Source organism: Homo sapiens, chromosome 2, assembly GCF_000001405.40.
Source record: "Homo sapiens chromosome 2, GRCh38.p14 Primary Assembly".
In the NCBI taxonomy this organism is placed as follows: Eukaryota; Metazoa; Chordata; class Mammalia; order Primates; family Hominidae; genus Homo; species Homo sapiens.
The window spans coordinates 10,745,668-10,767,009 of NC_000002.12; the positions used below are offsets into that span (position 1 = coordinate 10,745,668).

The window sequence follows — 21,342 nt, forward strand, 5'->3', positions numbered from 1 at the left end:
GCGTTAAGTACGTTCACACTGCTGTTACAACCGTCACCACCCTCCACCCACAGGACTTTTTCCATTTTGAAGAACTGAAACTGTATTCATTAAACAGTGACTCCTCCTTTCCTCCTCCCCCAGGCCCTGGCAACTACCTTTCTACTTTCTCTCTGTATGAATTAGGCTATTTTACGTACCTCCTATGAATGAAATCATATAGTGTTTGACCTTTTCTGCCTGGCTTATTTTACTCAGCATGATGTCTTCAATGTCTTACAGCATGTCAGAATTCCCTTCCTTTTAAGGCTGACTAGTGCCGCATCGTATGGACACACCACATTCTATGTATCCACTCAGCTATTGATGGATGCTTGGGTCGCTCCCACCTTTTGGTTATTTTTGTTTGTTTGTTTTTGAGATGGAGTTTGTGACCTCCACCTCCTGGGTTTAAGCAATTCTCCTGCCTCAGCCTCCCGAGTAGCTGGAACTACAGGTGTGTGCCACCACACCCGGCTAATTTTTGTATTTTTAGTAGAGATGAGGTTTCACCATGTGGGCCAGGCTGTTCTCAAACTCCTGACCTCAAGTGATCTGCCCACCTTGGCCTCCCAACATGCTGGGATTACAGGTGTGAGCCACTGAGCCCAGCCTTGGCTATTGTTAATAATGCCGCTATGTTTATTTTTATTAGTTATTTATTATTTATTTTGTTATGATTTACTATTTTATTTTCAGTTTCTCTTATTTCCTTTTTTTTTTCTTCTTCTTTTTTCTTTTTTTTGAGACAGAGTCTCCCTCTGTCACCCATGCTGGAATGCAGGGGCCCAATCTCAGTCCACTGCAACCTCCACCTCCCAGGTTCAAGCAATTCTCGTGCCTCAGCCTCCGAAGTAGCTGGGATTACAGGCGCCCACCAGCACGCCAGGCTAGTTTCTGTATTTTTAGTGAGATGTGGTTTCACCATGTCGACCAGGATGATCTTGATCTCTTGACCTCATGATCCACCCGCCTCGGCCTTCCAAAGTGCTGGGGTTACAGACATGAGCCACCCCGCCCAACCGTAGTTTCTTTTATTTTCTATTTGCAAAAGTAATATGTTTTTAACAAATTAAAACATAGCATTACATAAATTCATGGAAATTGCAGGTCTCCATTCTTGTATCCATGAAGATAATAGCCAGTGTCAACAGTTTGGTTTCTTTTCTTTTAGGATTCTTATTTAGGTATATACTGACATAATTTTTTAAGTGGGGTTATATGCTTTACATGCCTAAATGCTTTATTTTGAACCAATTTCAAGTTTCCAGAAAATATGAAAGACAATGAAAAGAATTCTCAGCCAGGTGCGGTGGCTTGCGCCTGCAATCCCAGCGCTTTGGGAGGCCAGGGCAGGTGGATCACTTGAGGTTGTGAGTTCCAGACCAGCCTGACCAACATGAAGAAACCCCGCCTCTACTAAAAATACAAAATTAGCCAGTCATGGTGGTGCATGCCTGTAATCCCAGCTACTCGGGAGGCTGAGGCAGGAGAATTGCTTGAACCCGGGAGGTGGAGGTTGCAGTGAGCCGAGATCACACCATTGCACTCAAGCTTGGGCAACAAGAGTGAAACTCAGTCTCAAAAAAAGAAAGAAAAAAAAGAAAAGAATTCTCATACTTTTCATATACTTTTACCACATCTGCTTTCTCTCTGTTTTTGTCTCTGCTTCTGTCTTTTCTGTCTCTCTTTCTGAACTCTGAACTTCTTCAACAGTAAGTTACAGACATGATATTCCTTTACCTCTAAAAACTTTAGGGTGTATTTCTTAAAAATAAGGACATCCTCTTATATAACTTTAGTATGATGATCAAAATCAGGAATGCAATACTGGTACTCGGTCTACAGATTTCACTTGGATATCACCGCTTGTCTCAATAGTGTGCTTTCTAAGCTGGGGACAGTGGCACATTTCTGTAGTCTCAGCTACTCAGAAGGCTGAGGTGGGAGGATCACTTAAGGCCAGGAGTTTGAGACCAGTCTGGACCACACAGCAAGACACCATCTCTTTGAAACAAAAAAAAAAAGCACACTTTCTACCAAAATAAAATGTCATATTTTCTCAGATAATAATAAAAACTGAGATGGCTTCCTGTCTTCTGTCATAAATTGTCATGTCTCTTTAGCCTTATTTAAACTGGAACACTTATACAGACTTTTTGACTTTTTTTTTCTTTTTCTTTTTCTTTTTTTGAGATGGTGTCTCGCTTTGTTACCCAGGCTGGAGTGCAGTGGCACAATCTTGGCTCACTGCAACCTCTGCCTCCCAGGCTCAAGCAATTTTCCTGCCTCAGCCTCAAAGCTTTCCAGCCTAAACCTGGAAGAGTTTAGGGTTTAGAGTAGCTGGTATTACAGGCATGCACCACTACGCCCGGCTAATTTTTGTATTTTTAGTAGAGATGGGGTTTAGCCATGTTGGCCTGGGTGGTCTCGAACTCCTGACCTCGTGGTCCACTTGCCTTGGCCTCCCAAAGTGCTGGGATTACAGGTGTGAGCCACTGCACCCAGTCTTTTTGACCTTGATGGCTCTGAGTTTTTTAAGTGTTTAGGTCAGTTATTTTGTAATATGCTCCTTAATTTGAACTCGTGCTGCTTCCTCATGGCTAGACGGAGGTTATGCAGTTTTGGCAAAACACTGCACAAGTGATGTTGTTTTCCTCAGTGCGTTGCAGGAGGCACACAGCATTGGTCTTTTCCATGTGTATGATGTTAACTTTGGTCACTTGACTAAGGCAGTATCTGCTTAAATTTTTTTTTTTAAACAAGGTAAAAGATACAGTGAAATGTACTCATCTTAAGTGAACAGGCTGGAGAGTTTAGACAAATAAGTATCATCCATCAGTGTAACCAACATCCCAATCAAGGTCTTTATATATTGTTTACAGTGCTTTTTTAATTAAAAATATGGTTTGTCCATCTTTTATGGGTTAATATAAATTTTTTTCCTGGCATTTTACATAAAGCTGCCAGAGTTTACTTTAGACAAACATGGAAGAGCTAATTTCCATGGGCCTTGGAGAAGTGTAGATTTATGATCAATTTCTGCTTCTACCCTAGTTTACTGTGTAGGGTGACCTTTAGCTCTCTGAGTCTTAATTTTTTTCATCTCTAAAATGGGAATGTCACTTAGCTCAAAACTTTTTCTCAAGAATGGAGTCTTCTGGCTGGACACGGTGGCACATGCCTGTAATCCCAGCACTTTGGGCGGCCGAGTGGGTGGATTGCCTGAGGTCAGGAGTTCAAGACCAGCCTGGCCAACATGGTGACACCCTGTCTCTACTAAAAATACAAAAACTTAGCTGAGCATGGTGGCAGACACCTGTAATCCCAGCTACCAGGGAAGCTGAGGCAGGAGAATCACTTGAACCCGGGAGATGGAGGTTGCAGTGAGCCGAGATCACACCATTGTATTCCCGCCTGGACAACAAGAGCAAAACTCCGTCTCAAAAAAAAAAAAAAAAAAAAGAATGGAGTCTTCAAAACACCTAAAAAATTATATATATCAACAAATAAAATTTTTTAAAAGAGGCTGGGTATGGTGGCTCATGCCTGTAATCTTAGCACTTTGGGAAGCCGAGGCAGGAGGATCACTTGAGGCCAGGAGTTCAAGACCGGTCTGGGCAACATAGCAAGACCCTGGCCCTACCAAAAAAAAGTTTTTTTTAAATGAACAAGCCAGTAAAAAGCCGGCAAAATATATGAACATGCTATCCACAGAAGAAGAAAATAGCCTTTTATAGAGTCAAACATGAGAAAAGATGTCCAGCCTCACTGATGATCAAAGAAATGCAAATCAAAGCAACAACGAGATATAATTTTTCAGACATCAGATTGGCAGAGATTAAAAAGATTCATAATACCTGTGTTGGCAAGGGTTTAGGGAAGCAGACAGTCTCATACACTGAGGTGTGAGTGTATACTGACTTTGTACATGTGTAGGGTAGTTTAGTCTTGCTTGTTAAAACTGTAAATGTTCATATTCTTAATTCCAGAAGTTGCTTCCTTAGCAACTTATTTTTTCTTTTTAAATGCACTTTTCTTTTTAAAAATGTATTTATTTGTTTTTTAACAAAGTTCAGTTTTCTGATCCAGGCAACTTATTTTTTATCTATACCTGCACAAGTGAGCAAAATGTGTGTATTATTGTGACGCCATATCAAAGTGACAATAACTCAAATGTCCAATAGTAGAGAATTTGTTATGATACAGCTATGAAATGAAATACAGTACAGTAAATGAAAGGAATGAGGAACCAGTCTTCTCCCGTGAAAAGGTGTTCACAACAAACTGTGGAGTGAAAAAAGTACATTTAACACAGTATCTAGACTCTTAGTTCCCTTTCAATGAGAAAAATTTTCTGATTAAGTAATACTGCAATTCACTGATGACCATCGTTAATGATCACAGCTAAGTCAGGGCTGTTTGCGTTATGTGGAACCAGGGCTTTTTCTAGCAGTAGAACTTCATAGACCATGTTATTCTGAGACGTTTCTGGTGTCATGTATATGCCTAAGGGCCACAATTCTATGTAGTTAAAGACTTCACAGAAGGGCACGTGTGATGGCTCATGCCTGTAATCTCAGCACTTTGGGAGGCCGAGGCAGGTGGATTGCTTGAGCTCAGGGGTTTGAGACCAGGCTGGGCAGCATGGTGCAATCCTGTCTCTACCAAAAATACAAAAATTAGCAGGGCATGGTGACGGGTGCCTGTAGTCCAGCTACTCAGGAGGCTGAGGCAGAAGGATCACTTGAACCTGGAAGGTGGAAGTTGCAGTAAGCCGAGATAGCACCACTGCACTCCAGCCTGGGCGACAGGGTGAGACCCTGTCTCAAAAACGAAAAGCAAAAAAAAAAAACAAAACAAAACCTTCACAGAGGCTAGGACAAGGAGCACTAAACAGTCATTAGCAAAATGATGAGTGAGTTCTCTTTTTAGGTCTGTTAGGACAGAAACAAGTAGGGGTGCCAGAATTCATTGATTCATTCGGCAGACATTGCTGAGCAGCTGCTGTGAGTCAGGCACTGTGGTAGGTGCTGGATTTATGTAAACAAATAACTACTCAAAATATTATAGGGGATGTGGTGATAGGAGACAGCAACTCCCACAGGTCGCTGTGAGGATAAAAGAGGAACCGTTGGTAGCATTAAAATAGGAGCTCCGAAAGAGCAGGGACTTTGTTTTGTCCATGACATTTTAGAACAGTGCTTGGCGCATAGTAGTTGTTAGTGCTTGGCGCATAGTAGTTGTTAGTGCTTGGTACATAGTAGTTGTTAGTGCTTGGTGCATAGTAGTTGTTTGATATATGAAATTTGCTAAACAAATGAACCAATGAATTTATGGAGTCAGGGTCCCAACAGATAACAGAAGATGCACTTGCAAATTATGCCAGAGATAATTTGAGGAGAGGCTCATTATAGGGAGACAGAGTTATGTGTGGGCTATAGGAGAATCACAGGAACCCAGGCTGGTGGAGAGACATTGTCACAACCCCTAGGCTGGCAGGGACAAGAGGATTGAGGTCACTGGAACTGGGAGGGAACCAGACTCTCCCTCCTTCTGATCTCCTGCCAAATCTACCCAGGAGTCATGGGGCAGAGAACCCAAAACAGTCCACCCAGGTTGCCTAGAGCATATCTCAAGGTGTCTCTTGCAGACTCTGATACCTCACAATGGTATCAGGCACCAAACTCCATGAAGAATCCTGTGAGATAAGGAGTATCATCCCCATTTTACAGCTGAAAACTGTAAAAATGTAAAAACATTTTACAGACAAAACTGAGATTAGTTAGGTAACTTACCTGAGGTTATAATCAGTAAGACGCTATTAACTACTGTTCTAAGAAATGCCATCGCACGGATGGAGATTTAATCCCAGGATGGGCTACAGTGACGGTAAAGATAGCAGTGTGGCCTGGTGGCCGAGAGCCTCACTTTTGGAGTCCACATAACGACTGGATGGTTGGAAGGGATGGGGCACATTACTTCTCTGGGCCTCAGTTTCTCCATCTGTAAAATGAGATGATACCCAACTTTTGGGAATTTTTACGAGGATTAAATGAGGCAATGATTATAGAATGTTTGATACTTGCTCGACTCCACTAAATAATAGGTGATATCAAAAGAAGACCTTAACTCTGTCTGGCTGGGCGCAGTGACTCATGCCTGTAATCTCAGCACTTTGGGAGGCTGAGGCCTGAGGATCGCTTTAGCCCCGGAGTTCGAGACCAGCTTAGGCAATATAGTAAGACCTTGTCTCTACAAAAAAATTTAGAAATGAGGTGGAGGATCACCTGAGTCTGGGAGGTCAAGGCTGCAATGAGCTGTGATCATACCACTGTATTCCCATCCTACCTGGGTGACAGAGTGACATCCTGCCTCAAAAAAAAAACAACAACAACAAAAAAACCTTAACTCACATAAACCATGCAAGTGTTAAGCCTTTGGAAATATGCCAGAATATGAAATGTGTTCCCTCTTGGGTGGGGGAGTATGGTTGTTCAATTTTTGTTAACTACTTTATACTTGTATTTTTCCATTCTTGACCATAAACACATGACTCTGGGAGTCAGGAAAGCAAGTTGCTACCTCTGCCTCCTTCCTTTGCTTTTATCAGGGTGTCCCGTGTCCCTGCCTCTGTTTTCTGTGTTGGGCCCTAGGCCTCTGGGCTCCGGTCTGAGTGGCTGGGGTGGCCAGCGTCTGCAGCAGTGGAAGACCTTGTACTCCATGTAGGATTCAGTGACTTGAGTCCGCTCCTCCTGCAAACACCACCTCCCTCCTGAGGGCGGGGAGAATGTGGAGAGAGAGCCTGAGGCAATGATTTGGATCATCATAACTTTCAGACTTTGATCCTAGTTTGACTTGTTTTCCAACTGGAGTTCTAATGGCTTAGCCTTCTGGAGCAGACTCTCCTTGCTACCAGATGATTGGTTATGTCAATATTCATAATAATCCTGTAAAATGAGTATCATCCACATTTTATAGGTAATAGAACGGAGGCTCAAAATAATTACATCAATTTAGCTAAAATCGGCAGGGTGCGATGGCTCACACCTGTAATCCCAGCACTTTGGGAGGCCAAGGCAGGTGGATCACTTGAGGTCAGGAGTTTGAGACTAGCCTGGCCAACATGGCAAAACCCCGTCTCTACTAAAAATACAAAAATTAGCTGGGTGTCGTGGTGGGCCTCTGTAATCCCCGCTACTTGGGAGGCTGAGGAGGGAGAATCACTTGAACCCGGGAGGCGGAGGTTGCAGTGAGTCGAGATTGCACCACTACACTCCAGCCTGGGTGACAGAGCAAGACTCTGTCTCCAAAAAAAGAACAAAAGAAAAAAAGAAAAATTGGCTAAAATCCTACATTTGGTAATTGGCAGAGTTGTGGCCAATTTGAGCCCTTTTGCCTTCAAATGCTGTACTTTCTGAAGCCTTCAGTGTGTTTTTCAGAGACAAAAAGTTTTAATGTTCTAATTGTAAAAGCAATATCTGATTATAATTGGAAAATATGTAAAGTAGGAAAAACACTTTCACGTCGTCATAGCCAGTGCCCATACTGCCTGTAGGAGTTTGTATCTTGGTATTTTTCCAACATTATAATACACGCCTTGTTCCACAGTATTAGGAATTCTTTGAAGCTTTATATTCAATGGCTCTCTAATAATCCCTCAGCTGGATATACCATCATTTACTTAAACAATTCCTTATTGTCGGACCTTCCAGCTGTCTCCAGTTCTTTACTGTCAGCAGCGTGCTGTGAAGAACATCGTTTTATTCAGAAAGCTTTTTCTGTTTGTCCCATTTCCTTAAGATAGCTTCCCAGAAGTGGAATTACTGGTTCAAAGGCTATTAGCATTTTTTTTTTTTTTTTTGAGACGGGGTCTTACACTGTCACCCACGCTGGAGTGCAGTGGTGCAATCTCGGCTCACTGCAACCTCCACCTCCCGGGTTCAAGCGATTCTCCTGCCTCGGCCTCCCAAGTAGCTGGGACTACGGCGCCCACCACCATGCCTGGCTAATTTTTGTATTTTTAGTAGAGACGGGGTTTCACCATGTTGGCCAGGATGGTCTCGATCTCTTGACCTAGTGATCCGCCTGCCTTGGCCTCCCAAAGTGCTGGGATGGGATTACAGGTGTGACCCACTGTGCCCGGCCGCTATTGGCATTTTAACCCTCTTCATACATCTTGCCAAATTATTCCCCCAAAGGGTGTCACCAGCTACTTTTCCTGCCAGCAGCATGTGACAGTATTTTGAGGACAGCTTCCTACTCTAACCGGCTCTTTTTCTTCTCTCTCCAAAGCCTCATAAGGAGAATGGCTCAGAGCGTGGTGGAAGTCATGGAGGACTCAAAGGGGAAGGTCCAGGAGCACCTCCTGGCAAACGGAGGTAGGTAGGGCGGCCCTCTGATGTGGAGCACAATCTCCCCGCTCCCTCTAGACCAGAGTCGTCCTTGCTGTGGCCACACAGCAATCACCGAGATGGCCCAGGTCTCAGTGGATGCTCTGGATTGACACATTGGGCAGAGGCTCTGCACTTGCTTTTATTTATTTATATTATTATTATTTTGAGACAGAGTCTCCCTCTGTTGCCCACGCTGGAGTGTGGTGCAATCTTGGCTCACTGCAACCTCCGCCGCCCGGGTTCAAGCGATTCTCCTGTCTCAGCCTCCTGAGTAGCTGGGACTACAGGCACCCACCGCCACGCCTGGCTAATTTTTGTATTTTTAGTAGAGATGGAGTTTCACCATGTTGGCCAGGCTGGCCTCAAGCTCCCAACCTCAAGTGATCTGCCCACCTCAGCCTCCCAAAGTACTGTGATTACAGGCGTGAGCTACCATGCCCGGCCAATTTTTATTATGATAATTTTCTTTTCTTTTCTTTTCTTTTCTTTTCTTTTCTTTTCTTTTTTTTTGAGATGGAGTCTCGCTTGTCACCCAGGATGGAATGCAGTGGCGCAATCTCGGCTCACTGCAAGCTCCGCCTTCTGGGTTCACGCCATTCTCCAGCCTCAGCCTCCCAAGTAGCTGGGACAACAGGCGCCCGCCACCACACCTAGCTAATTTTGTGTGTGTGTGTTTTTAATAGAGATGGGGTTTCACCATATTAGCCAGGATGGTCTTGATCTCCTGACCTTGTGTCCGCCCGCCTCGGCCTCCCAAAGTGCTGGGATTACAGGCGTGAGCCACCGCGCCCGGCCTATTATGATTATTTTCTGAGACGTGGTCTTGCCCAGGCTGGAGTGCAGTGGTGTGATCATAGCTCACTGCAGCCTTAACCTCTCAGGCTCAAGGGGTCCTCCCACCTCAGCCTCTCGCTCACCAACACACCTGGCTAATATATATAGATATATTTTTTGAGACGGAGTTTTTCTCGTGTTGCCCAGGCTGGAGTGCAATGGCACAATCTCGGCTCACCGCAACCTCCCCCTCCCAGATTCAAGCGATTCTCCCGCGCTTAAGTGATTCTCCCACTTCAGCCTCCCGAGTAGCTGGGATTACAGGCATATGCCGCCATGTCCAGCTAGTTTTGTATTTTTAGTAGAGACGGGGTTTCTCCATGTTGGTCAGGCTGGTCTCGAACTCCTGACCTCAGGTGATCCGCCCGCCCTGGTCTCCCAAAGTGCTGGGATGACAGGCGTGAGCCACCGTGCCTGGCCACACCTGGCTAATATTTTTTATTTTTTGTAGAGATGGGGTCTCGCAATGTCGCCCAGGCTGGTCTTAAACTCCTGGGCTCAAGCGATCCTCCTGCCTTGGCCTCCCAAAGTGCTGGGATTCCAGGTGTGAGCCACTGTTCCTGGCTGGTGCACTGCTTTTAGCTCATCAGCACTGCTAGGTTTGGAAGTTGTTCCCCTTCATAAATTCATGGCTCTGCAGTTCCGCCTCTACTCTAACCAGCTGGTGAACTCCTCAGAGTGCTGCAGATAAACACAGGGTCCAGGGAGCTCAGCCCGGCTCCTACTGTTTGCCCCTCCACCCTCTCCAGAGCCACCACTCTCCCCACCTGGGCAATTCTGCCTCCTCACCTCACCCTCACCGATTTATCCCTTTGCCCAAATCAGGTATGAGAAATGCCTTCCTGTGCTGAGGAAGGCCTCCAGCCAGGCTTCAATTGCCGTCCAGTAAAAAGAACAGAGGCTGCACCCTGAAGGCTTCCTGCAGTGCAGTCACGTTGGGAATGTCTGCCTCGTTCGTGCTGATGGGACGAACCTTTAGATTCCAGTGATGTTTTGGCCCATTAACTGTGTGCATACTATTTCAGTGCCTTTAAAGTGTGCAAGGCAAAACCTTTGAGACTTTGGAAACTTTAGAATTAAATGTTTAAATATCTGTAGAGATAATTAAACTTACATGATTCTATGCGTATATATTGAAAATGAGAGTAGAGATTATACTGGGCCAGTGTGGTGGCTCACGCCTGTAATCCCATCACTTTAGGAGGCCGAGGCAGGCAGATCACCTGAGGTCAGGAGTTCAAAACCAGCCCAGCCAACATGGTGAAACCCCATCTCTACTAAAAATACAGAAAAAATTAGCTGGGCGTAGTGGTGCACACCTGTAATCCCAGCTACTTGGGAGGCTGGGGGAGGAGAATTGCTTGAACCCGGGAGGCAGAGGTTGCTGTGAGCCGAGATCGCACCATTGCATTCCAGCCTGGGTGACAGAGTGAGACTCTGTCTCAAAACAAACAAAAAACAACAATAGATAATACTGTATTTTTACTGTACCTTTTCCATGTTTAGAAATATTTAGATATATTGCCGGGCGCAGTGGCTCACACCTGTAATCCCAGCACTTTGGGAGGCTGAGGCAGATGGATCACGAAGTCAGGAGTTCAAGACCAGCCTGGCCAACATGGTGAAATACTGTCTCTACTAAAAATACAAAAATTAGCTGGGTGTGGTGGCTGGCGCTTGTAATCCCAGCTTCTTGGGAGGCTGAGGCAGAAGAATTGCTTGAACCTGGGAGGCGGAGGTTGCAGTGAGCCGAGATCGCACATTGTACTCCAGCCTAGGAGACAAGAGTGAAACTCTGTCTCAAAAAAAGAAAGAAAGAAAGAAATATTTAGATATACAAATACTTACCATGTGCTACAGTTGCGATAGCCTAGGTGTGTAGTAGGCGATACCACCTAGGTTTTTGTAAGTGCCCTCTGTGATGTTCACACAGTGACAAAAATCTCCTAATGACACATTTCTCAGAATGTATCCCTGTCATGAAGCAACGCATGACTGTTTACACTATATGTTTATAATAAGATTTATATCATTTGTTATAAATATAACATATATTTATAGTTTTCCCTCTTGAAAACATGAGGAGACTTTTTTTTTTTTTTTTTTTTTTTTTTTTTGAGACAGTCTCACTCTGTTACCCAGGCTGGAGTGCAGTGGCGCGATCTCAGCTCACCGCAACCTCTGCCTATCAGGTTCAAGCAAGTCTCCTGCCTCGCCCTCCAGAGTAGCTGGGATTACAGGCACCCGCCACCACACATGGCTAATTTTTGTATTTTTAGTACAGACTGGGTTTCTCCACGCTGGCCGGGCTGGTCTTGAACTCCTGACCTCAGGTGATCCGCCAGCCTCGGCCTCCCAAAGTGCTAGGATTACAGGCGTGAGCCACCGCGCCCGGCCAGAGGAGACTTTATTTGGCTGTTTAAATTGACATATGGAAATGTTCCTACCCCACCTGTGATCTTGGCTTTGTATGTCTATATGGCTTAATAACTCCACCTTATTATATTGCAGGCTTGAAAGGAAAAATGAAATGTTTAAAGAGTAGGTTATGCATTGTTTGCTGTGTCTGTGCTTGGCGTGATGCCCGCATGTCCCGGGAAGGTGGAATCTCGGTCTGGTTGTATTGGTACAGTGATCAAGTTACCACGATTTCTCAAGTAACAACCTTGTAACTTGGTCACAATATCCATATGACACAGATAACCACCATCTCATCCCCTCCCCTCTTTGTCCTGTCATCCCTGCCTCTCCTGGGCAGCACTGCATGCCGCCTGGAAGCTGGGAACGCTTTGACCTTGTGGAGTTCAAGGTGAACTCCTGTCTCTTTCTGCATGTGGTCTGCTTCTTGTTTTGATCCTGACACGATGTCCCGACTGCCTGCTCTTTGAGCCCGTCTGTTTTATGGACACTGGAACCTTAAACTCCAGGCTTCACTTTGTGTGGCCTTGATGGGGTTCAGACATACAAGGAGCCTCCAGGGCAGTCCCGGTGCCCAAACAGGTCTTTCCTTGTGTGAATGTTAGAGGGAGCCATTTGCTTTGGATTTTCCCCAACCCGCTCAAACTGGTAGAATTAAAAATAGCAAATCATTTTAGGTTGCATAAGAATCTTTAGAGATTGGCAGTTATCAAATGCCTTCCCAAATGCAGTTTGTTTGTCACACTGAGATTTTTTGCTGATGCTAAGAAAAAATTACCTTGTCAAGTTGACCAAGCGGGTCTGATTTCTCAGAAGGTCACTCCTCGGGCCCGGGACTGCAAGGCTGACTTCAGGTAGAGAACTACTTTTCTACATAAACAACAGAGGAACTTTAGCTTATATTAAAATAGTGATCAAAGTGCTTATGTTTTACGCAAAATTAATGTAACCTTAAGTTAGATGTTAGTATTATGCAGTATCCATCCCCAGTCCCGATGGTAGCAGCAGTGGCCTCTCTTCTCAGGAGAAGAAAATTCAGCTTCATTTGTTGAACGGGCTTTATGACCTCTGTGCCTCCCGTGAGTCGGGTCTCAACTTCCCAAGACTAGAGCTGGTAAAGCACATTCTGAAGCCTGGAGGCTGTAGGGAGGCTGAGGTGGGAGGATTGCCTGGGGCCGGGAGTTCGAGGCTATAGTGCCCTGTGGTTGTGCCTGTCCATAGCCACCACACGCCAGCCTGGACAACATAGCAAGACCTTGTCTCTTAAAACAAAACAAAACAAAACAAAACACAGCATGTGCTATAAACCAGGCCAGAGAGACCTTTTTTTTTTTTTCTTTTTCTTTTTGAGACGGAGTCTTGCTCTGTCGCCAGGCTGGAATGCAGTGGTGGGATCTCGGCACACTGCAACCTCTGCCTCCTGGGTTCAAGCAATTCTCCTGCCTCAGCCTCCCAAATAGCTGGGACTGTAGTCCCAGGCGTGTGCCACCATACCTGGCTAATTTTTGTATTTTCAGTAGAGACGGGGTTTCACCTTGTTGTCCAGGATGGTCTTGATCTCTTGACCTTGTGATCCGCCCGTCTCAGTCTCCCAAAGTGCTGGGATTACAAGTGTGAGCCACCGCGCCGGCCGAGAGGCCTTTAAACTTAGTTTGACTTGGGCTTTCCTAATATTACCTGAATGAGGAAATCTTTCTCTTCTGCAGGGCACCCATGAACTAGTGATTGACAGGATGAACCAGAGGCACACATTGTTGCATTTTAATCCTATCTCCTCCGGGGGCATTTAGGGCACCACTGCCTGCAGCCGGTCAGACCTGGTCCAAAAGTCACTTCTGGAGTTTCCTTTTCTCAACTGTAGATGGACTGAATGGCTTCAAAGGCTCTTGGCTTCGTCAGGACCGGTTGTTTCTGCTTGTTCCTTGCCTCCAGCAGAGCTGGGAGCAGGAAGGACACAGACAGCTTTGATTGCAGCCACAGCTGGCAAACACACCTTGCCCGGCCTGGGCCCTGGAATGCCCACAGAAGACAGAAACCCTCGAGGCTTGTCTGGCTTGCTGGGCGATGGGCCGCAGTCTGGTTGGTCACAGTCCCTCATGCTGCTGCCTGCCGGGCAGGCCTCCTTTTTGTTCTCGGACAAGACCATCATTGCTCAAGAGTTGCCAGCCTGTGCACAGCATATTTTGATGAGGGGTGAGCCTGCCTGGGTCATGGCCTGACCTCATGAGCCCTCAGCCAAGGTCTGCGTTGCCCCCTCTGAGGCCCAGGCTTTAGTGACTGCACCCCAGGCAGGGGAGGCAAGGCCTGTGTGTTCCAAGCAGCAGAGGGCAAGCTGTGGTGCTGTGAGTACAGAAGGCCGGAGGGGCTGGGCACGGTGGCTCACGCCTGTAATCCCAGCACTTTGGGTGTCTCAGCCTCATTCTGACAACAAGAGGTCTCAATCTGTCAACTAGAGACATTTAGTCAAAGGAGACTCCTCTATTATCTCACAATATCACTTTGCTCAGAGAGGTCAAGGAGCTTATATCAGGTCGCACAGCCAGTAGAAGTTGGAACTGGCATTTAAATGTGAGCCTTACTGGTTCAAAAGCCCTAGTTCCTACCACTGCTTTACTGGCTCCCAGATACCTCTCGCCAATTTTTCATTGGCTTGTGGTGAAATCAGAAAAATAAAGACAAGCAGTTTTTTGTTTTTTGTTTTTTTTTTTTTTGCTTTTTGAAAAAAAATATATAAATCTTATTTTAAAAAGCAAGATCTGGCTGGTCACGGTGGCTCATGCCTGTAATCCAGCACTCTGGGAGGCCGAGGCGGGCGGATCACCTGAGGTCAGGAGTTCGAGACCAGCCTGGCCAACATGGTGAAACCTCGCCTCTAAAAATACAAAAAATGGCTGGGTGTGATGGCGTGTGCCTGTAATCCCAGCTACTTGGGAGGCCAAGGCAGGGGAATTGCTTGAACCCTGGAGGCCAGAGGTTGCAGTGAGCCAAGATGGTGCCACTGCACTCCAGCCTGGGCGACAGAACGAGATCCATTTCAAAAAAAAAAATAGAAGGCCAGAGGGGTGGCAGAGGGCCGTCCTCAGACAACATTCTTTCCAAAGGCAGGGTGCGTGGACAGGGAAGGGCTTGGATGCCTGACCCAGGGCAAGGCTCAGTGTACACAGTTGGAGCTGGTGTTCAGGACATGTGAGAGATGAGGAAGAAGGCACAGTCACACACCCAGAGGCTTCTGGAGGCCCCTGCAGGGAGACATAATCTCAGACTTCCCTGAGCATCTGTCAGTAACCAAGCACATGCTGGACATGCAGAGGTGATACACAGTCTTTGCCTTCTGGAAGCCACAGCCTTGCTGGGGCTCATAGTGCCACATGCACCCCATGGTCTTTGGAAACAAAGACCAAGCTGCAGGAAGTGGGTTCAGTCTTGGAGGAGTTACAGGGCAGGGGTGCTTCAGATGGAAAGGGAGACCTCAGCCCTTTGGTCTGAATGCCATGAAGACCTTGGACTTGGTGCAAATGGCCAGAGACAAGAGCTTGATCTGAAATGTATCTCTTCCAAGCCACGTAGACAGTGCGAGCTGATACCACAGTCATGGTTGCCGGCGGGGGTCTGTCAGTGTTTGAGCATGTTTATGGAGCACTTGCTCTGTGCAGGGTACTGCGACAGGCTCTGGGAACACAGAGACCAGTGAGTCACAGTCTCTGTCCTCGAGGAGCCTGAGACAGCACAAGGAGTGGAGTTCAGGCCAGCAGGGGCAGGGACAGTTGGGCCACCCCTGGAAGGAGTTGGTCTTTGCCTGTCCTACGTGTTGAAGGACAGAGGTACTGTGAGAGGAGAGTAGGGAGTTGTGGGGACTTGCCTGGGGTGTCAGAGGGGACGGGGTAGGAGGTGGAGGGAAGAGATGGATGGGACAGCACACACCGCCCTGTCATCTCCCATCCTGGGCTGCCGCTTGGTGCCTTGAGACTGGTTCCCAGCTTGTGGGATGGCTCTGGGCCCATGGTGGGAGGTGAGCTTGCCTGTGCCTGTGCAATGGGGTCCTGGAGGTGAGTTTCACTGTCGTTCCTGCCACAGGAGGAGTCCCCGCCATCCTCCTGGTTACCCTCTGACCACTCCCTGCTCTTACTTCCACCCCGGGCCTGTACCCTTGCTACAAGGTCATTCCCATTGTGTGTGGCAATACCAAAGCCTGTATTAATACCCAAACTAATACCAATGTCTGAGTCAGCCTGGACTGCTGTCACAAAATACCACTGACTGGGCAGCTTAAACCACAGACTAAGATCAGACAACCTGGTTTCTCCTGAGGGCTCTCTGCCTGGCTTGTAGACGGCCACCTTCTTGCTGCATCGTCCCATGGCCTTTCCTTGGTGCCTGTATGAGGACAGGGAGAGCACGGATCCAACTCTCTGCTGTCCCTTCTTATATGGCCTCGAATCCTATTGGATCAGGGCCCCACCCTTAGTGCCTCAGAGGTACTCTCGTCAACAGGCCAGGACTCGCCATGTTAATTCCAACACCAGCATCCTAAGTCTGTAAAACAAATTCTCCCAAGGACTTCTTCCGAGTCCCGGTGGCCTAGAAGGTGTCTGAGTTTGGTTGCCGGGCAGGTTCCACCTGCAGCAAGGCTGTGTCCACTTAGTGCATGTGGCAGGGAGGGGAGCCGTGGCCCTGCCTGGGCCCTGCAGGGCGTTAGGTGCTTCACGCCTTATCTCACTTTATCCTGGAATTTCCACAGCTTGCTCTGTGCCAGCGTTTCCTCATCTGTAAGATGGAGATCATCATAGGGTTTTAATGGGGTTGAAGCATAAATTTTTTTTTTTTTTTTTTGAGATGGAGTCTCCCTTCGTTGCCCAGGCTGGAGTGCAGTGGCTCATTCTTGGCTCACTGCAACCTCTGCCCCCTGGGTTCAAGCGATTCTTCTGCCTCAGCCTCCCCAGTAGCTGGAACTACGGGCGTGTGCCACCATGCCCAGCTAATTCTTACATTTTTAGCAGGGACGGGGTTTCACCATGTTGGCCAGGCTGGTCTCAAACTCCTGACCTCGTGATCCACCTGCTTCAGCCTCCCAAAGTGCTGGGATTACAGGTGTGAGCCACCACGCCCGGCAAAGCATAAATTAAATGGAATAATTCATGTGTCTTGGCCCAAGGTCAGCAGCAGTAAGTGCCAGCCGCTTTAATGGTCATTGTCACCGTCGTCGTCCTGTTATCTTCAGGCCTTTCCTTCGTCTCACGTGCTGGCATTTCTTCCCCAGCCCGATTTCCTCCTCTGAGTCCCATTTCATTCCCATCTGCTTCTTGGGGACCTGTCCACCCACATGTCAAACTCAAGCTTGTCCCAGGCAGAACTTGCCTCCTCTCCTCCATCCCCATCCCTCCCACCTCCATGGCTGCCCGGCTTAGAGCACTTCCCTCCCTCCACCCAGCCACCCAGCGAGAAAGCTGGCGTGGCCAGGCCTGCGTCATTGCCTTGCACCCTGTCTAGTCGGTCCTCCCCTGTCCTCCTCTCCCCTCCCAGGGCTCCTCCCACTCCTCTTGGCACCACCCTCTCCCTCCCACGTTCCTGCTGGCTTCTCCCCTGGAGCCTCCTCCACACCAGCCTCAGAGGACTCCCCCAGAGTGTGTGAGTGTCCCCAGCCTGCTGCCCTTGGTCAGCTGGAGTCTTGTTTGGTGACCCCACTGGGCGCTGCTGTTGGGGTTGGAGGAATCTCAGTCCAATTCCCGTGCTAGGGGCTGAGTGGGCGGGATCTAGTGTTGTTTTGGCACGTGGTGAAGTGCAGACATGACCCTTGGTGACCGATCCTACCCCTTTCTGTTCAGCATCCGTCCACACTCCCTCTTCCCTGACTCACAGTGCCCCGAGTACGTAGCGCTGCCAGCCCTCCTCACCTGACACCCGGCGCCCTCCATCACCGGCCACACGGCCACCTCCTCTTCCCCTTAGCCTCCACGTGAATACCATGTCTGTGTCCCAGTGAAGGGACACGATCCTCCCTAGGAGGAGCCGGCGCCAGCTCTTTGTCCTCCCTTAGCACTCTAGGCGGTTATCACTGGGCCCCCAGCTCTCTGCGGTGTGTCTGCCTAGGGGTCTCCCTGTGGACCTTGGGCAGGGGGTGGTGTCTAGTGTGTGTCCCCAGCAGGGTGATGGGTGTGGAGTGAGCGTGACAGTCCCCTTTCATGCACCAGGATAGACCAGGAAGTGTAGGTGCACAGGGAGCCTAGGCTGGGACATCCGCCATGGGAAGGGCCCTCTGCCAGGGGCACAGGAATTCCAGGGGCCACCGTGGCGCTGCAGCTTCCAGGGAATTTCCCGCTCTTCCATAGACCCGGCGTATTAAAAGAGGTCAGGTCCTGGGGCGGCTGGCCCAGGTAGCTCTCTTCAAGAGTGTGGAGAACTAACCTGAAGAGAGCAGGCAAGGTGCCACTCCGCTGTGTCTCAGGTAGGGAAATTGATTCCCTCCTAGCCTAGAGCCCTGGGGGTTGAGTCAGCTGAGGTTTATTCAGTGTTGCTTCTTTCTGACTTCAATTCTGGGGCTCTCTCCACCCCACACCTGGTTAGAATGAGCCAGAGGCATCCTGAAGGCAGTGGGTTTTGGGGAAAGAAAAGAAAAAAAGGAAATGCTTGAAAACACTGGTGTGGTCTGTTCCCCAGAGACTTTTCTCTAAATAGCATATACTGAAAAACGCACCTCCCTGCCGTTTAATATAAACCACAGTCACACAGTCCAGTATTTTGCTAATGTGTAAAATGCCTTCTTTGTAATGGACAGTGAAGATTGAAACTGTCTAGTGCTTGGGCTGACAGCTCCCACTGGCTCACAGCTCCCCGCTCCCGCAGGGAACGTTTGCTTTTCCAGAGCCCTGTGCCTGCCCGCCGGCGTTGCCCATGATGGCTGCCTTCGTGTCCACGCTGATGCTTGGCTTGGGATTCCGAAGTCTCAATCATGGATGCAGAGCGCAGGCTCATGTGTTGAAATGTGTTTGTATTCTTCCAGTTGACTTAACATCCTTTGTGACCCACTTTGAATGGGACATGGCCAAATATCCTGTCAAGCAGCCGCTCGTGAGTGTGGTGGACACAATAGCCAAGGTGAGAAAAGGGACTGCTCTGGGGAACAGCTGACTGGTGGGTCAGGCGGGCAAGAGCCTGGGTAGGGCCCCCCTGCCAACAGCCTCAGCCTGTCCTGACTGGGCCTCTGGGTTTCTGAGGTGTGGCCTCCTTCCATGCACTGGGCAGGTTTGGGGTTTCAGGGCAGCCCTGGACAGGGAAAGAGCCAGTCCCCTGGCCTCCCCTCGAGGGCCCAGCACCCATTCACTTGCTGCTCCACTTCTTTTTTCAAAAGTTACTGATGGTGGCCGGGCACGGTGGCTTACGCCTGTAATCCCAGCACTTTGGGAGGCCAAGGTGGGTGGATCATGAGGTCAGGAGTTCGAGACCAGTCTGTCCAATATGGTGAAACCCTGTCTCTACTAAAAAATACAAAAATTAGCCAGGCGTGGTGGCGCACACCTGTAGTCCTTGCTGCTCGGGAGGTTGAGGCAGGAGAATCACTTGAACCCGGGAGGTGGAGGTTGCAGTGAGCCGAGATCATGCCACTGCTCTCCAGCTTGGGCAACAGAATGAGGTTCCGTCCCCCCACCAAAAAAAAAAAAAGTTACTGATGGTGAAGGCAGCTCCCTCATCATCTACTCCTAGGAACCTGACACCTCTAGCCCCCAGGGGATTGTTCACCTGCAAAGCTATTTGGTTTAAGTGGAGAGTTTGGCCTGGGAGCCCTAACCTCTTCAGACACTGCACCAGCTCGTTGCTCTCCACTTGTGACAATGGAGAGGCAGTGAGTGTCCTGACAGTCCTCTGTCCTGTTCAGCAATGGCCTCCACTCCACTTGATAAAATGAACACCCTGTGACTCGAGTCCCAGGGGATGCTATGGGCACCTGGAGCTGGGTGACTTCTCTGTATCATCACTGAAGGTGAGGGTGACAAGGACTGTGAGACTGAGGCTGATGGTTTCTGATGGCCTGGCCCTCCCTTCTGCCACAAAACACTGAGCCCCTAATGTGTCCCCTCTCCTGCTGGCCCCCATGGCTGTGGGAGAGTCTCGGCCTGGGCCAGGAACAAAGGCACCCGGTTTTCTACTGTGACTGTGGCCAAGGGTCAGAGTGGAGCTGGGCCTCTCACCTGTCCTCTGGCAGCTCCTGCAGGTCTCCTGGAAAGTAGGGTGGGGCCAGAAAGCTCGGGAATCTGGGTGGGGCACCTCGGGTGCTGCTTACATCAGAGAGGCTCAGGCCCCTGCTGGGACGATCAGGCAGTGATTCTGGAAGGCCCTTCAAGGAGGGTGTGCCCAGAGCACCTGTGCCAGGTGTGCCTTTCAGAGGGCGCTGTGCATGTCCACCAAGGAACTGGAAGCACATGATGGCTGGTGGGGCTGGCCCTTCCCTGCCTCACCATGTGCCAATTTGGGATTCTCTCAGTCCCAGGGATGCCAGACTCAGTGGGAAGGGCCCCCTGGAGCACATGGAGGGAGCAGAGGGGCTGTCGGGAGACCTGGCTTCTCCAGTCCAGAGCACCCCTAGAGTGCCTTTGGCAGGAAGGAAGGAGGGCACTGGTTTGGTGGCATTCCAGATGTGCCCGAGACTGTGCTGGGCTCTCTTACTGTCCGCCTCATGCCATGGGGTGGACATCACTTTCCTCTGAGTGCAGAAGAGGAAGCTGAGGGGTTGAGCGAGCGATCCAGGACCTGCAGCGGTTGGAGTATTATGCCGGGATGGGGATGCAGGTCTTGGGGACCAGAGCCTGCGGATTGTGCTGTGTGCATGACACCACTTCCCAAGGAAGCCCTGGACTGGCCCAACCACAGGGAAGCAGCTCCTGGCAGCAGCAGGGGCAGAGGCTCCGGGGTGTTGTCTCCCTCAGTCCTTCCTACACCGGCAACACAGTGTGACACCCCCCGCCTCAGCCTCGCTCTGCCAACGAGAGGTCTCAATCTATCAACTAGAGACATTTAGTCAAAGGAGACTCCTCTATCATCTCACAATAATTCCAGGCCACTTTGCTCAGAGAGGTCAAGGAGCTTATGTCAGGTCACACAGCCAGTAAAAGTCAGAACTGGCATTTAAATGTGGGCCTTACTGGTTCGAAAGCCCTAGTTCCTATCACTGCTTTACTGGCTCCCAAATACCTCTCAGCAATTTTTCATTGGCTTGTGGTGAAATCAGAAAAATAAAGACAAGCAGTATTTTTTTTCGTTTTTTTGTTTTTCAAAAAATATATAAATCTTATTTTAAAAAGCAAGATCTGTGGATTACACCCATGTCAGTTTCCTGGTTATGATACTGCACTATGACGGTATAGTGCAGAATAGTATCGTATAGTTGTATAGGACAGTACAGTGTAGTCACAGAGCTGTATAGTGCAAAATAGTACTCATATAGTTGTATAGTTGCATAATGCCGTATACTATACAGTTGTACAGTATACTTCTATCGTGCAGAAGATTTTAATATAGTTGTATAGTTGTACAATATAGTTGCATAGTACAGTATGGTATGTAGTTGTATAGTGCAGAATAGTATAGTTGTATAGTGAGCTGTGGGAAATCACTGTGGGAAACTGCATGGAGGGGACTTAGGATCTCTGTGTACTATTTTTGCAACGTCCTGTGAATCTATAAT

The 21,342-nt window shown here is 48.4% G+C and overlaps 1 protein-coding gene across 14 annotated transcripts in view, besides 2 other annotated features; it reads left to right on the forward strand.

Moving 5' to 3' along the window:
- The window catches only part of ATP6V1C2 (ATPase H+ transporting V1 subunit C2), a 64,168-nt gene that overhangs the window by 24,725 nt on the left and 18,101 nt on the right, over positions 1 to 21,342 (forward strand). For 6 of the 14 annotated variants that reach the window (XR_922661.2, XM_047443858.1, NM_001410707.1 and 3 more), the window contains exons 4-6: positions 8,314 to 8,399; positions 11,760 to 11,789; positions 18,664 to 18,758. Coding sequence is in view for 13 of the 14 variants with exons in the window: in XM_047443858.1 (XP_047299814.1) it covers positions 8,314 to 8,399; positions 11,760 to 11,789; positions 18,664 to 18,758 (211 nt within the window). In the remaining variant the exon portion in view is untranslated. Of the gene's footprint in view, positions 1 to 8,313; positions 8,400 to 11,759; positions 11,790 to 18,663; positions 18,759 to 21,342 lie in introns of those variants that run through there. The other 8 variants (XM_047443860.1, XM_017003745.3, NM_001039362.2 and 5 more) reach the window with 3 other exon arrangements.
- Positions 13,183 to 13,763: an enhancer, noted in NCBI's record as "H3K27ac-H3K4me1 hESC enhancer chr2:10898976-10899556 (GRCh37/hg19 assembly coordinates)". NCBI's record gives its function as "activates a minimal SCP1, AML or CMV promoter by ChIP-STARR-seq in primed H9 embryonic stem cells {active_cell/tissue: H9 hESC(primed)}" and the evidence as "EXISTENCE:reporter gene assay evidence [ECO:0000049][PMID:30033119]".
- Positions 19,726 to 20,263: an enhancer, noted in NCBI's record as "H3K4me1 hESC enhancer chr2:10905519-10906056 (GRCh37/hg19 assembly coordinates)". NCBI's record gives its function as "activates a minimal SCP1, AML or CMV promoter by ChIP-STARR-seq in naive H9 embryonic stem cells {active_cell/tissue: H9 hESC(naive)}" and the evidence as "EXISTENCE:reporter gene assay evidence [ECO:0000049][PMID:30033119]".